This window comes from Homo sapiens, chromosome 7 (genome assembly GCF_000001405.40).
Source record: "Homo sapiens chromosome 7, GRCh38.p14 Primary Assembly".
NCBI lineage: Eukaryota > Metazoa > Chordata > Mammalia > Primates > Hominidae > Homo > Homo sapiens.
The window spans coordinates 83913392-83928745 of NC_000007.14; the positions used below are offsets into that span (position 1 = coordinate 83913392).

The following is a 15354-nucleotide window of genomic DNA, read 5'->3' on the forward strand; positions in this document are numbered from 1 at the left end:
GTATTCCATGGTGTTTATCTATCTATCTATCTATCTATCTATCTATCTATCTATCTATCTGTCATCTAACTATCTGTATGTATGTGTATCTATCTATATGTGTTTGTATATGTAGTATATATGTATACCATATTTGCTTTATCCAGTGAACTGTTTATGGACACTTAGGTTGGTTTCATGACTTCATTATTGTGACTATCTTTTTAATATAATGATTTCTTTTCCTTTGTATATATACCCAAGAGTGGGATTGCTGGGTCAAATTTTTAGTTCTTTGAGAAATCTCCGTATTGTTTTCCATCGAGGTTGAACTAATTTATATTCTCACCAAAGATATAGAAACATTCCCTTTTCTCCACATCCATGCCAACATCTGCCACTTGCTTTCTAGTAATAGCCATTCTGACTGGTGTAAAATGACATCTTACTGTGCTTTTGATTTGCATTTCTCTGATGATTAGTGATGCTGGGCATTTTTTCAGGTGTTTGTTGGCCACTTGCATTTCTTGAGAAATGTCTGTTCATGTCCTTTGGCCAGTTTTTAGTGGGGTTATTTGTTTTTTCCCTGTTGAGTTTTTATTTTATTTTATTTTATTATTATTATACTTTAAGTTGTAGGGTACATGTGCACAACGTGCAGGTTAGTTACTTATGTATACATGTGCCATGCTGGTTAGTTCCTTGTAGATTCTGGATATTGGTTCTTTTTCAGATGCATAATTTGCAAATACAGTCTTCTAGATTGTAGGTTATCTATTCACTATGTTGCTTATTTCTTTTGGTGTGCAGAAACTTTTTAGTTTAATTAAGTCCCATTTGTTTATTTTCGGTTTTGTTGCATTTGCTTTGGGGTTTTTTTTCATAAATTGTTTGCCTAAGACAATGTCCAGAAGAGTTTTCCCTAGGTTTTCATCTAGGACTTTTGTAGTTTCAGGTCTTACGTTTAAGTCTCTTATCCATGTTAATTTTAGAGTATGGTAAGAGATAGGGAACCAGCTTCATTCTTCTGCACATTGGCATAGAAGGCAATTTTCTCATCACCATTTATTGAATAGGGTATCCTTTCCCATTGCTTATTTTTGTAGTCTTTGTTGAAGATCACTTGGTTGTAGATATGTGGATTTATATCTGTGTTCTATATACTGTTCCACTGATCTGTGTGTCCATTTTTGTACCAGTACCATCCTGTTTTAATTAGTTTAGCCTTGTAGTATAATTTGAATTTGAACAGAGTGATGTCTCCAGAATTGTTCTTTTTGCTTAGGATTGCTTTGGCTACTCAAGGTCTTTTTGTTTCCATATGAACTTTAGGTTTTTTTCTTTTTTTCCTAACTCTGTAAAAAATTATGTTGGTAATTTGATAGGGATTGTGTTGAATTCGTAAACTTCTTTGGGCAGTGTGGTCATTTTAACAATATATTTTCTTACAATCCATGAGTATGGAATGGTTTTCCATGTGTTTGTGTCATCTATGATTTCTTTCAGCAGTGTTTTATAGTTCTCCTGTAGAGATCTTTTATCTCCTTGGTTAAATATATACCTAAGTATTTTAATTTTTGTGTGATTATTGTGCTTGAAATTCTTAAGAGAAATAAGCTTATTGGATCAGTTCAGCCCATGCATCCCTCCCTCCACCTGAGGGTTGTATGTGTATCCTAATGTAACCAGTCATGTTCAGGGCTGTGGATTAATGTGATAACAGATATAAATATTTACACTCTCATCTAGAAAAGACACTTTAAACCCAGAAGCTCTAGATGTGGTAGATGCTGTGGAATGAGCTGTGAATGAGGCAGGTAAACACGCTAACATGACTGGTAAAATACTGTATGAATTTAAAGAGAGCACTTGCCCATGTTTACTGCATAATGGAATGTAAGTCTGTTTCCTTTCTTTTTGCATTTTTCTTCTATTGCTCTGTTTAGAAGCTTTTCAAGATAGACAACTTTAGCACAACTTTTAAGTGGTTTTGAAATTACTATTTTTGTTTCTATTGTCTGCCTGGATGGCTTCTTTTTCCTTACTCTTCCTTTTTTCCATTCTCAAATACCTGAACCCTACATAATATTGACATAAAATAATTAAGAAATAATTTTAAAAACATTTTAAGATGTAATATTTCTAAGAACTTAGTTAATATTTATACTTTTATCACCAAAATGTTGACAATGATCTTACAAACGAAGGCAGTATAGCATAGTGACCAACAGTTCAGACTTTGGAGTTAGAACACTTGGTTTCTTATATAACTTTTATGATCTTGTACAATATGCTGAATGCATTTAATTTATTATATATACTAGTCATGAACTATCACTGTTAGTACTACTAGTAGTATTATTACTACTCTCATTACTTCTATAACTAGTACTGTTACTACTAGTCAATTGTCTTTAAAGCTTGTTAGTTCCTTAGAGTTTGCACATTAATGAAACATATCTAATTGTACTCTTGTGGCTTTTTCAACAAGAAGAAGATTTACTATTTTAATCTGAGCTTCATCGATAACCTTCTGTCAACTTTAACGTACTGAATATTTGTTCATTGGGGAAATTCTATCTTCTGAAGTGAGATCCAGACAGAAACACTTGTTTCTTTATCATATGAAAGTTGTCATTTTTCAGGGCTGCATAATTGCCCTTTAAAATCTTCTCTTCTCATGCTCCACTCGAACTTTGATTGACAATTTAGAGTACTACTAGATATTTTAAAGGCAGGGAATTTTATTTTCTAGGTTTTACTTTTTATAGCTTTTACTCTTATTTAAATTTTCTTGTTTTCAATGATCTTATATAAGAAGAATAAAAACCAATAGACTATTTAACATTTCATTTCAATGAAAATTCTATGCTTTTACTGATGAATGTTTTACTGTAGTCAAAGAAATGAAGCTTCTTAATGGGCAGCCTTCTGATACAAATTTTGCTATTATAGGTCAATGTGCATCCTAGTTTCTACATCTTAATGTACCTACCATATTATTAGAGGAAAAAAAGTAGAAAGGGAGGATATAGGACTATGTTGAGAAAGAAAGCACACATCAATTTCTTTACAAAACCTTACAAAAATAGTTGCCTATTTCATAAGAGAAGTGATCATGAGTAAAATATAACTCAAACATGCACATAAATTATAAAGGCAGAACAACCTTTTCATTGAGATTCACATTGTGGCAACCCTTGATTTGCCACACATCTTGGCGCTATGTAAATATTTCTATCATAAATACAAATCAAGAGGAAGGTCTTTTTTAGATTAGCGGTAAATTTGAGAACACGTGGCAGCTCAATTGCTGGAAAAGAACATTCTCTGGTGCCTTCAGTTTTATTTCCGCAAATGGCAATCTTAATACCCACTCACTGAAGCCTTTCCAGGAAAGACTTCTTGAGCATGGCAGCTGGTTTGCAGACATCAAGACATTTAAATTCTTTCGCTGGTCATCCTCGGGAGGAGGATTATGAAACTAACGTATGGGAAACCTTACATTTACATGTAACAATTGTAATTCATGTGGACATGGTAGAGATTAGATTTTTCTTTCTCCTTTTTAAAAGCCTAATGTTATTTAACTGAAACAACTCTGTGTTGCTACAAATAGGTAAAATAAAATTACATCAGTTATAAACATTTGAAACCAAATAGAGGCTTTTTAAAATCCTAACTAAATAATCTTGTATGTTCTCGGTTGGTTGGTTTGATCTCTCTCTCTCTCTTTTTCTTTTTCTTTTTGCTTCTTTCACCAATAAGACTTGTATTCTGACAAATAGCAAGATTATGGAATATATTGTTGAAGTTACTGAATTAAGTGTTTTGCCCAAAAATAAAAATGAAAACCCAAATCTATCTAAATTTTCGTTGTTTCTAGTTTTGAAGTAGAGATCAAGTTTTGTGTTGGAATTGAGTGATTTAAAAACTAATTAATTCGTTGTCTTGATGTCATTGGTTTATTATAAATTACATACTTCTGGCAGGACTGGGCTCTCTATACAATAATTTAAAGAGAAATGATAGCTACATAAACTTACTATAATCTGTAAAAAGAGAATTAAATAGCATGTAATTCAACTACATTCATTTGGTCCTCAACTTAAAAAGAAAAGGACATCATATTACCATTTACACTGCTGTTCCTGATAGCATATTTCAGACTTTAATTTTTCAGGTTGTTATCGAATAAGAGCTAACATTAAACTTGGGACTCATTGGACAAGAAACATATAGCTAAAAAGAAGAGATTTTCAAAAAAGAGAAATCAAGTTACTAATTCATTGATTCATTTATTCAATGTGTCTTGAGAAAACACTATGCTAAGTTTTTTTGGGTATTGGGGTTGAGAAAAAGACAAAACAATACACCTTTCTCTAAGCTATTTGAATTATAGATGAAGGAATAATTATTTACATGATTAATATAACTTTATTAATATAAAATTAATGCAAAAAAGGATGTGTAAAGATGAGGTGGCATAAACATTTTTAGTAATGAACTGAACCAAAAAGTAGTATCCCCTGTTCCACATTGCTTTTACAGTATGAGTCTCTATAAAATCTCATTTTAGGCACACAACTAGAAAGAATGCCAGATGGCGGGGTGATTTTTAGATCCCATCTCAGGGTCAAAGTTGATGGCCAGATGTTACAGATCTGGAGAAAAGAGTCTAAGCCAGATGGAAAGGGCAGTTTAAACATACACACAAACATACATGCTCTGTATTTTTAAAGGGCTAGAAGTCTGGTATTTCTTTAGTAAGTCATAATCATATGTGTATTTTCTAAGTACAAGTTTTAAAAGTTAAAGATATTATTATTAAGAAAGCAACTAGTTGTAGACTTACATTGAAAGAAATTATATAATTTGATTTGTGTTGAAAATGTTGTAATATACTAACTTGATATTCAGCCAAGTGATACTGACAGTAAGTCTTGATGTGTTGATATCTATGACCATGAATCAAACATCTTATTATATTACAACAATTTTCAGAACAGTGTTCCTCCTAATTCCCATCTCATTTCATCTCTTATAAGGCAAGTTAGTCCTTGATTTGCTCTCGGTCTCTTGTGTAAACATGCTTTTCTTAGGTCTGTATATCTTTATTTCCCACTTCCTATACCAGGCATTCAAGTCAAAACCCTCTGCAGTATCCATTCCTCTGCAACACGTGGTCAGGATATTTGAAGAGCCCTCTGGAAATAAAACAATGAGATCTTAAATCAATGACAATTCACATACTTTGAATTCATTAACGGGGTATAAGAAAGTTAAGGAAATCTTCAGGGGCAAACAAAACAAAACGATCAACAAAAGCAACAATAAAAAAAAGTGAGCTGAAGGCTGGGTGTGCTGACTCACGCCTGAAATCCCAGCACTTTGGGAGACCAAGCAGGCAGATCATGAGGTCAGGAGTTCAAGACCAACCTGACCAATATAGTGAAACCCTGTCTCTACTAAAAATACAAAAATTAGCTAGGCATGGTGGTGCGTGCCTGTAACCCCAGCTACTCAGGAGGCTGAGGCAGGAGAATCGCTTGAACTCAGGAGGCAGAGGTTGCTGTGAGCCAAGATAGTGCCACTGCACTCTAGCCTGGGCAACACAGCAAGACTCCACCTCAAAAACAAACAAAAAAAAGAGTGAACTGAAACTAAGATGAGTAAAGACGTTTTTGAATGAATGTTTACATCAATATATCTGCAATAAGAAATTTCTGTAAGGTATGTTTTTTAAAAATGGGAAATGACCAGAGAAGGAGAACAGTTACAAGAAAGAATAACGAACTAAGAAACAAGTAAATTAAAATGTGTATTGTCTATATAAAATAATAGTATAGTCTAATTTATAGAGATAAGGAAAAACAGATAAATAGTAGGAGAAATCAAAATTGAAAAAATCTAAGGACCTTGTATTGTTTGGTAGGGGATGAAGACACTGAATAACTTTAGAAAAAAGTTAAATATATACATAAGTGATACAATTTCCAAATATTTTTATTCAAAGGGAAAAGATGAAAAAGAAAAAAGGCAGTCATGCCAAAAAAGTAAAATATAAAAAATTTGAAACTTAAGAAAAGACACATTCAAAATGCAAAATAAAAATGGTAGAAATGAATCCTTTGTGTCAGTTGTTATAATCACTGTATTAGGTTGGTGAAAAAGTAATTGTGATGTAGTATGCATAGAACAGGATTTTACATCATTATCCTATTATCCCTAATATTGGGTTGGTGCAAAAGTAATTGCAATGTTTGCCATACTTTTATGGCAAAATGCGCAATTACTTTTGCACCAACCTAATAAATAGGCCAAATTTGACAGGTAGAAAACAGAGGTCATCAGGTGGGATAATGATGTAAAATCCTGCTCTGTGTATACGACCTGTATATAGATAATATAAAGATGCAGAAAGATACTCAATGATAAAATTATGTAGTAATTATCCAACTCCAGAGTATAGGACACTCTAAGAACAACTATTCACAAGTCTATGGTATGAAAATGGTGCTGGAAGTGAAGGAGAGAGATCAGTTCAAGAGTAAAATGTATGCCTTTTTGCCATTTGTATCTGTATTACATTATATAAGTTTTTTTAAAAATTACACTATCCTGACCTAGTTTGGAGATCCCAACTAGAAGTCAGCCAGTTCCCTTCTTGAGCAGCTGAATAAGTCCTTACTCCTATCCGTTTTCCTTACCAGGTTCACACACTTTAGTCAGATACCAGACAATGAGAGACAGCCCCTATGTCCCAGATCTCACAAAATTATTCAACTTAGTCGATCCACAGGGAACAGAGAAACCTAGCTAACTCTGCTTGCCATACGTAAACTGCCTTTTATAGTTTTAGTTTACTGTTACTCTATCCAAAGTGCAACTCCCAAAGTGGGTCTGCCTGGCAGCCTTCTCTCATTTGGAGCTGTAAGTAACAGAAAAGTTCTGCCTTTCATCTATTCAAGTATTACCGTGTTATGGCTCTCCATCAAAAAGGTCTTTAAATCTTATAAAACACATAACAACTGTTTAAGTGTGTTTTGTGTTGTCATAACAGAACACCACAGACTGGGTAATTTATAAACAATAGAAACTCTGGAGGCTGTAAAGTCCAAGAACAAGGGGATCACATTTGCTGAAGGCCTTCTTGCTGTGCCATAACATGGCAAAAGGCATCACATGGTGAGAAAATGCACAAGTGAGCAAGAGGGGGCTGAATTTGCTTTTACAACAAACCTACTCACACGATAACTAACCTACTCCTCTGATAATGACATTAATCCATTCATGAGGGCTCTACTCTCATAACCTCACACCTCTTAAAGGTGCCACCTCCCAACACTGTTGCATCAAGAGTTAAGTTTCCAACACATGAACTTGAGGGGTCACATTTAAAGCATATCTACAACCCTAACCTTAAAGGTATGGGCATCCACATAAAGTAATTAATTCAACATGCATATTCAGGACTCCAAGTAGGAGGTGTTTTGTAGAATTTGGGAACAAAAGACCTTCATAATGAAAAAGCCTTAACATGATTGCTCTGGAGCAAACAAAGAAAATGTAGCCAGCTACTATTTGTAACTAGCTTTTTAACTTCTTAAAGGAAGCAATTATACCTTATTCCTCATGTATATGCCTAGCATAATATGAACTTAAAAACAAATACCAATCCCTTGAGTTCAGAAAATATTATAGATCTTTGTTTTTTAGATTGGACATTATGGGAGATACCTTTTAGTGTTTCATTATTTTTGTGTGAAGGATTTAGTCCTATCTAATTATATTAATTTAAGGTAGGCTTAATAGACCCTGAGGTCAAATAACATAGACAATAATTATGTTGAGTTCAGATATAAATAGTATTTTGTCATTTTAAACTAAGCTGGCTACAACTAATGTTCTTTTTCCTCAGTCTCCAGCATCTGCTGAACTTACTCTGTAGGTTGTATTGTCCTTACATTTTGGCAGAAACATAAGAGGGAACATATTTTCCTTACTGCCCCTCACACCCTTTTACTGGAAGGTTCCACTACTTTATTTGGACATTTTCCATTATACTTCTTATAGCATCCATATGCTAGCTTTTTGTGCCTATTAATGTTTTCTTTACTCTGGGCACCTTTCCAAACACACTACTTTGAAATATGGAACTTCTTATTTAGTTATATAGCCAATATCTAAAAAACCTCAACTAAGAAAAGATTTCCACCAGCATTTTCGAAGGTGCTGTTAAGATCCATCAATGCAGCCACTCAGTGAGTGTGGAAAAGAGTCTTATATCAGCTCAGGAAATCCACCCCATTAAAGCCTCTATCAAACAGAACATATCAGAAGGCACAGCATACAAACCACTATAAGGAAAAACTGTAGCCAAATTCAGCAGCAACAGATGTAGAATAAATGCACTTATTGACTAACTTCCTTGTGAGGCTATATTTGTGTTTCTACTTATTGGGTGCAGATTATATTTTCCTGCCAACAGTAAATGCTGTTGATTTAATACATGTGACAGCTCTACACCACATTGTAGCCCCATGAATGCTGGGATGGAATAGAAACATAGACTTCTTTTTCTAAGATACAGAAGGTAACCCACAGAATACACAGATACTTTTGCTCAGGAGAGGCCCATGGCTAAGAGGAACTTGTATATTGTCTTTGAAAAAAAATACAGACATGAAGTAAAAATACATTTTGGATGGGGATAAGCAACGTTGCTTCTTTTCCAGATGTCTGCCTAATTTCCTTGCCAGAAATTTCAAAGATGTGTATAAAATTTTCCTTAAAAATATGCTTACCAATGTTCTGTGAAAGAAAAAGCAAGGCACGTAATGACTTCATCATCTCAGAATGAATCATAATGGACCAAATACTGCATCATTACTCAGAAAATATGAGTCCAGAGAAAGCAGAGATCAGGGCTCTGGCTACTGGCAGAGCCATGCTGGTTAGCATGAGCAGAGGCTTTTAATCCAATTGTAAATTTTCTCCTTTGTGATGATGAGATTCCATCTCCAGCATTTAGGAGGTAAACATTTTAAAGTAACTGGTAACATCACTCGAAAATCAAATCCCAGAGATGCTGGCTGGAAGCCAAAGAGTTACCCCCGATGTATAAGAAAGTGGTTGCAGCATATAATTAGGTTAATGCTGGACTAGACTTGCTTTTGATGAGTTGGCAACTGTCATGACTGCCTTGCTTTAAGTGGGCTGGTGCCTGGAAGGAAACTATACCTATGGGACTTAGCAAGAGACAAGCACCAGAAAGCAATTGAAAAGCTGAAATTCCACAACCTTTTAAATAATGGAATCACAGAACAGAAAGGTCATCTGTTCGGGTTCCTGACGTTACATGCGTTTTAAGTTTGAAAGATAAAATTTGATCCACGCTTCATTTATGTCTCCAAAAGGAGACTTCACCATCTTCTTTGGTAAAGGTTTTAAGGTATAATATATCAAAAACTTCTTCCATATGACTTTTCAAACTCTCTTTGTTGTAGTTAAGTCTCAGTACACTTTTTTCTCATAATATATTTTTACATACGCATATGTGATTCCTTCATATTAACTGTTCCAATATCTGTACTTTTTTATTAGTCACGTTCCACACTGTGAAACTGTTAATTTTTCAGTGGTTTAAAACTGATGATAATTCCATTAAAAAAAATTGATCCAATTCTGATTAACATGGAAAATGTTACACTCTGGTTCTTGGATTTTCTATTAAAGTCTGATTACTTACAAAAATAGCATGTTTGTGGTTATCTGATACTTTGTTAATTGAAAGATACTATGAGGGACACTAAATACACAGTTTGCCCAATGCTAAATGGTTAAATTACTTAAAATCAAATTTGGATGAAAGTGAGAATTAAAAATATCAATATATAGAATAAGTTTCTGGTATATAAGAAAAAAATGCTGATTTTATATAAAACGAAACAAAATTATTATTCAATTTTATTTTGAAATATATAGAATTACATGTATATTTAAAGTTTTACACTTTACTGCAGGAGCAAAAACTTTTCAAAAATGTTAACTGCTGTAATGTCCCTTAGTTATATAATAATACTAAAAATATGAAATACATCACTTTCCAACAGCACATTTAATAGAACAGATGATTTTTTTGTGCTCTGTGGAATATAATACAGGGAAATGTTTTTCAGTAACATGTCTTCCAGAAGGAATTTTTAAACCAAAGACTCAAGCTTGAGAAAAATCTCAAGAATACATTATGAAATTTGAAAATGATTGGCAAAGTATAGCATTCATTTTGAACAGTTTTTTATTTATAGAAAATGTTAGCCTCTCCTAAGCGAATTAATGCAGGAGCAGAAAACCAAATAATGCATGTTCTAACTTATAAGGGGGAGCTAAACAATGAGTACACATGGACATAAAGATGGAAACAATAGGCACTGTGGACTACTAGACGGGGGGAAGATGGGAAGGGATCACCCACTGGGTACTATGCTCACTACCTAAGTGATGGGTCATTTGTACCCCAGACCCCTGTGACACACAATTTACCCTTGTAACAAACCTGCACATGTACCCCTTGAACCTAAAATAAAAGTTGAGAAAAATGTTAGCCTCCATAGACAGAAAATTATGAGAAATTTTCCACTTGAATTATTCTCGCAAGTACACGATTCTGAACTTCGATAAGAAAGAACAAAAATGTTGTGGGTACGTACTTTGTTCTTGCATTTTTTTCATTCCTTTAAACATTGTATTATTAATCCTGTTGCAAACCAAGTTGACTTGTCAACAATTTTATGTATATCACTTTAGAATTTTTCCTCCTACTGGATTTTTATGTTTATGTTGATATTTTTCTTCTAATTTATCATTAGGGATATAATTACCAGATAGTTTTAAAGGTGTTTTTTTTTCCTTGCAATGATCATGGCCTAAATGAAGTGAAATAACAAAATATTAAGACTTAAAGAAAATTAAATACTGTGTAATGTTATAAATTTTAGAATTCAAAACAATTCTACAAAGATTAAAAGTACTAGATAGTTCATTTTTACAGTTTTGTTTTAATATTATTTATGTTATTATAAAAATCTCCCCCCAGGCCAGGCGCGATGGCTCACACCTGTAATCCCAGCACTTTGGGAGGCAAAGGCGGGTGGATCACGAGGTCAGGAGATCAAGACCATCCTGGCTAACATGGTGAAACCCTGTCTCTACTAAAAAAAAAAAAATACAAAAAATTAGCCGGGTGTGGTGGCGGATGCCTGTAGCCCCAGCTACTTGGGAGGCTGAGGCAGGAGAATGACATGAACCCAGGAGGCGGAGCTTGCAGTGAGCCGAGATGGCGCCACTGCACTCCAGCCTGGGCGACAGAGTGAGACTCCGTCTCAGATAAATAAATAAATAAATAAATAAATAAATAAATAAATAAATAAAATAAAATAAAAAGAAAAAGAAAAATCTACCCGGGTGCCGTGGCATATGTCGGTATATGTCTGTAATCCTAACTATTCAGGATCCTAAGTTAGGAGGATTGCTTGAGGCCAGGAATTCAAGGCAGCAATAGCTATGATTGCACTATTGTGGCAATCCAGCCTGGGTGGCAGGGCGGGTCCCTAAGGGAGTCTCTCTCTCTTTCTCTCTCTCTCTCTCTCCCGCTCTCTGTCTCTCTCTCTATATATAAAATCCTTTTTAATGGTAATAAATAAATGATATAATTTAATATATAATTGTATATTTATATATTATAATTTATATTTTATATAATATAAATTATATGTTTATATTATTAAAAGGATATACTTTTCTTAAAATTTCTGTGGCCAAGCTAATGTATTTTGTCTTTTAAATTTGTATGGTTTCTTATCTCTTTGAAACATATAATTTTATTTATGCATATGGTAATGTCTTTCACAATCATGATGCATTATTGTAGCATTTCGCATGTTCAGCTATAAAGTATGCTCATATATGTGTATGTTCAGAAGAAAAACCTTGAAATAAGGTATTCTCAAATTCTAGCCACATTTAATGAATCATTCAGGAGCTATATGTCAGTCTCTACCAGGCACTTGTACGTGCTTTGATGTACAATTTTTTTTTTTAATGAAATAGTGTCCCTTCCTGGGTGTGTGTGTGTGTGTATATTTCATCTTTCGCTTTTTAATTAAAATATAATTTAGTCATTTAAACAATACAATTCACTCATTTAAATTGTAAAATTCCTCAGATTTTAGTATATTCACAGAGTTGTGCAATCATCACCACAATCAATTTTAGAACAATTCATTACTCCTAAAAGAAACTTGACGTGCATTAACAGAGTCTCCATTTCCTCTCAACCATCTCAGCCCTAGGCTGCTGTATTTTCTGTTTCTATAGATTTGCCTATTCTAGACATTTCATATAAATGCGGTCATACAATATATGGTATTTTGTGAGTGATTTATTTCACTAAGCATAATGCTTTCAGGGCTCTTCTATATTATAACATGCTTTAGTGCTTTACTCTTTTATCTTGCTGAATAATATTCCATTGTATGGAATATTGCATGTTATTTATTCAGTCATCAGTTGGTGGACACTTGCATTGTTTTCACTTTTTGGCTATTATGAGTAATGCTACTATTAATATAAATATTCATGTCAAAGTTTTTGTGTGGACACCTGTTTTATTTCTCTTAGGTATATACCTAGAAAGGGAATTGGTGAGTCATAGGGAAACTCTATGTATAACATTTTGAATAACTGCCAGATTGTTATTCACAGCAGCTGTACCCTTTTACATTCTCAGAGGCAATGTACAAGTGTTCCCATTTCTCCATACCCTCAAGACTTGCTATCGTATGTCTTTTTGCTTATAGCCATCATAGTGGGTTTTAAGTAGTATCTCATCTTTTTTTCTGTGTGTGTGTTTTCCTGATAACTGATGGCCAATCGTGTCGAGCATATTTTCATGTGCTTAATGGCCATTTATTTATCTTTTTTGGAGAAATGTCTAAATGTATCCTTTCTTCATTTTTAAATTTGGTTTTTGTCTTTTGGTTATTGTGCTATGTGAGGGCTTTTTTAAAATTTTGAATACAAGTCCCATATCAGATATATAATTTGTGAGTATTTTCTACCATTCTCTGGTTTTCTTTCCACTTTCTTGGTAAGATCACTTGAAGTACAATTTTTTAAAATTTTGAGAAAATACCTTCTATTATTTTTTATCCCTTGTGCTTTTAATGTCTTATGTAAGCAGGCTTTGCCTAATCCAAAGTCTCGAAAATTTATTCCTACATTTTTATTTAAGAGTTTTACAGTTTAATGCTTACATTTCAGTCTATGATTCATGTTGAGATAGTTTTGTGTATGGTATGATGAAGGCATTCAACCAATTGTTTTACATGTGGATGTCCAATGTCCCAATTCCATATTTTGAAAAGACTATTTTTCCCCATTGAATTTTCTTGGCACTGTTGTTGAAAATCAATTGACCGTTAGTGTAGTTGTTTATTTCTAGACTCTAAAACAGATTTCATTGTTCTATATGTCTAGTCTTAGGCCAGTATCACACTGATTACTGTAGCTTTGTAGTAAGCTTTGAAATTAGGAAGTGTGAGTCTTACAACTTCACATCTCCTTTTCATAATTATTTGGCTCTTCTGGGTCCCTTGCAATTCCATGTGAATTTTAGAATCAACCTGCCAATTTCTAAAAAGAAGGCAGCTGGGATTCTGATATGAGTAGCTCACTCACCCTGGGAGTGTCAAGAGGACACAACTTACACTAAAACTTTGAGGAACAGATTTGTAAGGGCAGCCCCGGTATCCATGGAGAACTCTGTGGTCATTCTTCTCTGTAGGTCAGAAATTGTACTGGAATCTGCTGCCCTGAACTGGAAGTATTAAGTGCAATGGGGATAATCAGATCCCATGGTGGCAGAGTCCAAGTGGTGTCACTTAATTGCAAAAGGAAGTGATTGTGCTTACTGTAAAGAACAGCAGAGTCAAAGCAGATCAGAATAGCCTGTCCCTGTAAGTGAAATAGATGAGCATTCTGTTAAATTCTCACTCGATCTTTATAGATAAAATAGTCCTAGGTCAAGTAAATAGAAGTCTAATTTCACTTATGAAAACATAGTTACAGCTTCTTGATCAATTCCCAGACTTGAGTCAGTTTACAGACCTGAAACTCTTTGAATGAAGGGGCAGTCAGGTCACCTTGAAGAAAAACCTGGATACACTGCCAAAAATCCATACTGTTACTCTTTCATCGGTTTTCTGCCAAGGAACCTGTAGACTTTTACTAGGATGACTCTGCATTGGGAAAAGAAAATAATCAGCCTTTTGGTGTATTATTGGACACTGGCTCAGATTAACACTAATTTTAGAAGACCCAAAACATTACTATGGTCCACTCACCAGTCTTACTAGGGGCTTGTGGAGGACCAGTGATCAAAGGAGTTTTAGCATAGGTCTGTCTCACAGTGGGTCCAGTGAGTCTGTAGATACATCCTCTAGTAATTTTTCAGTTCTGAAATGGATATTAGGAATATACATACTCAGTAACTGGAAGAATCACCATATTTGTTTGCTGATCTGCAAAGTATGGGCTATTAAGGTGAGAAACTCCAAGTGGAAGCCACTAAAATTGCTGTACCTAGGAAAATAGTAAACCAAAAATAATACTGTATTCCTGGAGAAATTACAGAGATGAGTGCCATTATCAGACACTTGTCGGGTTTAAATAATATGTCCAGCCCTGTCACTGATAAGACTATTTATTAAGTCAATAGAAACATTACTCACAGTGCTTTTAATATAAGTAATATTAAAACCTATTTTATCGTTTCAAAGGAAAGGAGTGTCATCTTTCCATTTCCAGTGTCATAACATGTAGTTACAAAATACTAATCTGTATACACATTATATATGAAAAAATATGTTATCTTATATACCTAGAGTACTAGAAAATGCTTAACTTCCACACGTCTCACTAGTATTCTTTGGCAAATATTTGTTGAATGCACATTCCTTTAAAAATCAAAACCATGGGATTAGTTATCTCCTATATTAATTTCTTGTTGTCACCAGAGTAGAATACCAAACATTTGTAAATTTGTTGTTCACATCAAGCAATATCCATTTATTATCTCTCAATTTCACTGGGCCAGAAGTCTAGGCACCATGCAGCTTGGCTGCTTCTCTGTTCTGCATTGCAAAAGGAACACATCAAGTTGTGGGCAAGACTATTCTTTCATGGAGGATCTAGTGACAAATCCATTCCCAAACTAATTCAGGTTGTTGTCAGAATTCAGTTTGAGTGGCATTATTTTACATTTTAGCAACTTTCTATAATATCTGGCAGTAAAAAAGAGCAAGATTCTCCTGT

The 15354-nt window shown here is 34.0% G+C and overlaps 1 long non-coding RNA gene across 1 annotated transcript; it reads right to left on the minus strand.

The window, feature by feature from the left end:
- Window positions 1-5043: 5043 nt before the first annotated feature.
- LOC107986745 (uncharacterized) lies at window positions 5044-14486 on the minus strand. Its single transcript, XR_001745027.1, has 3 exons — window positions 14385-14486; window positions 14149-14279; window positions 5044-5186 (listed from the first exon to the last, which is right to left on the minus strand). It is a non-coding gene; the product is annotated as an uncharacterized LOC107986745 (long non-coding RNA).
- Window positions 14487-15354: the final 868 nt, after the last annotated feature.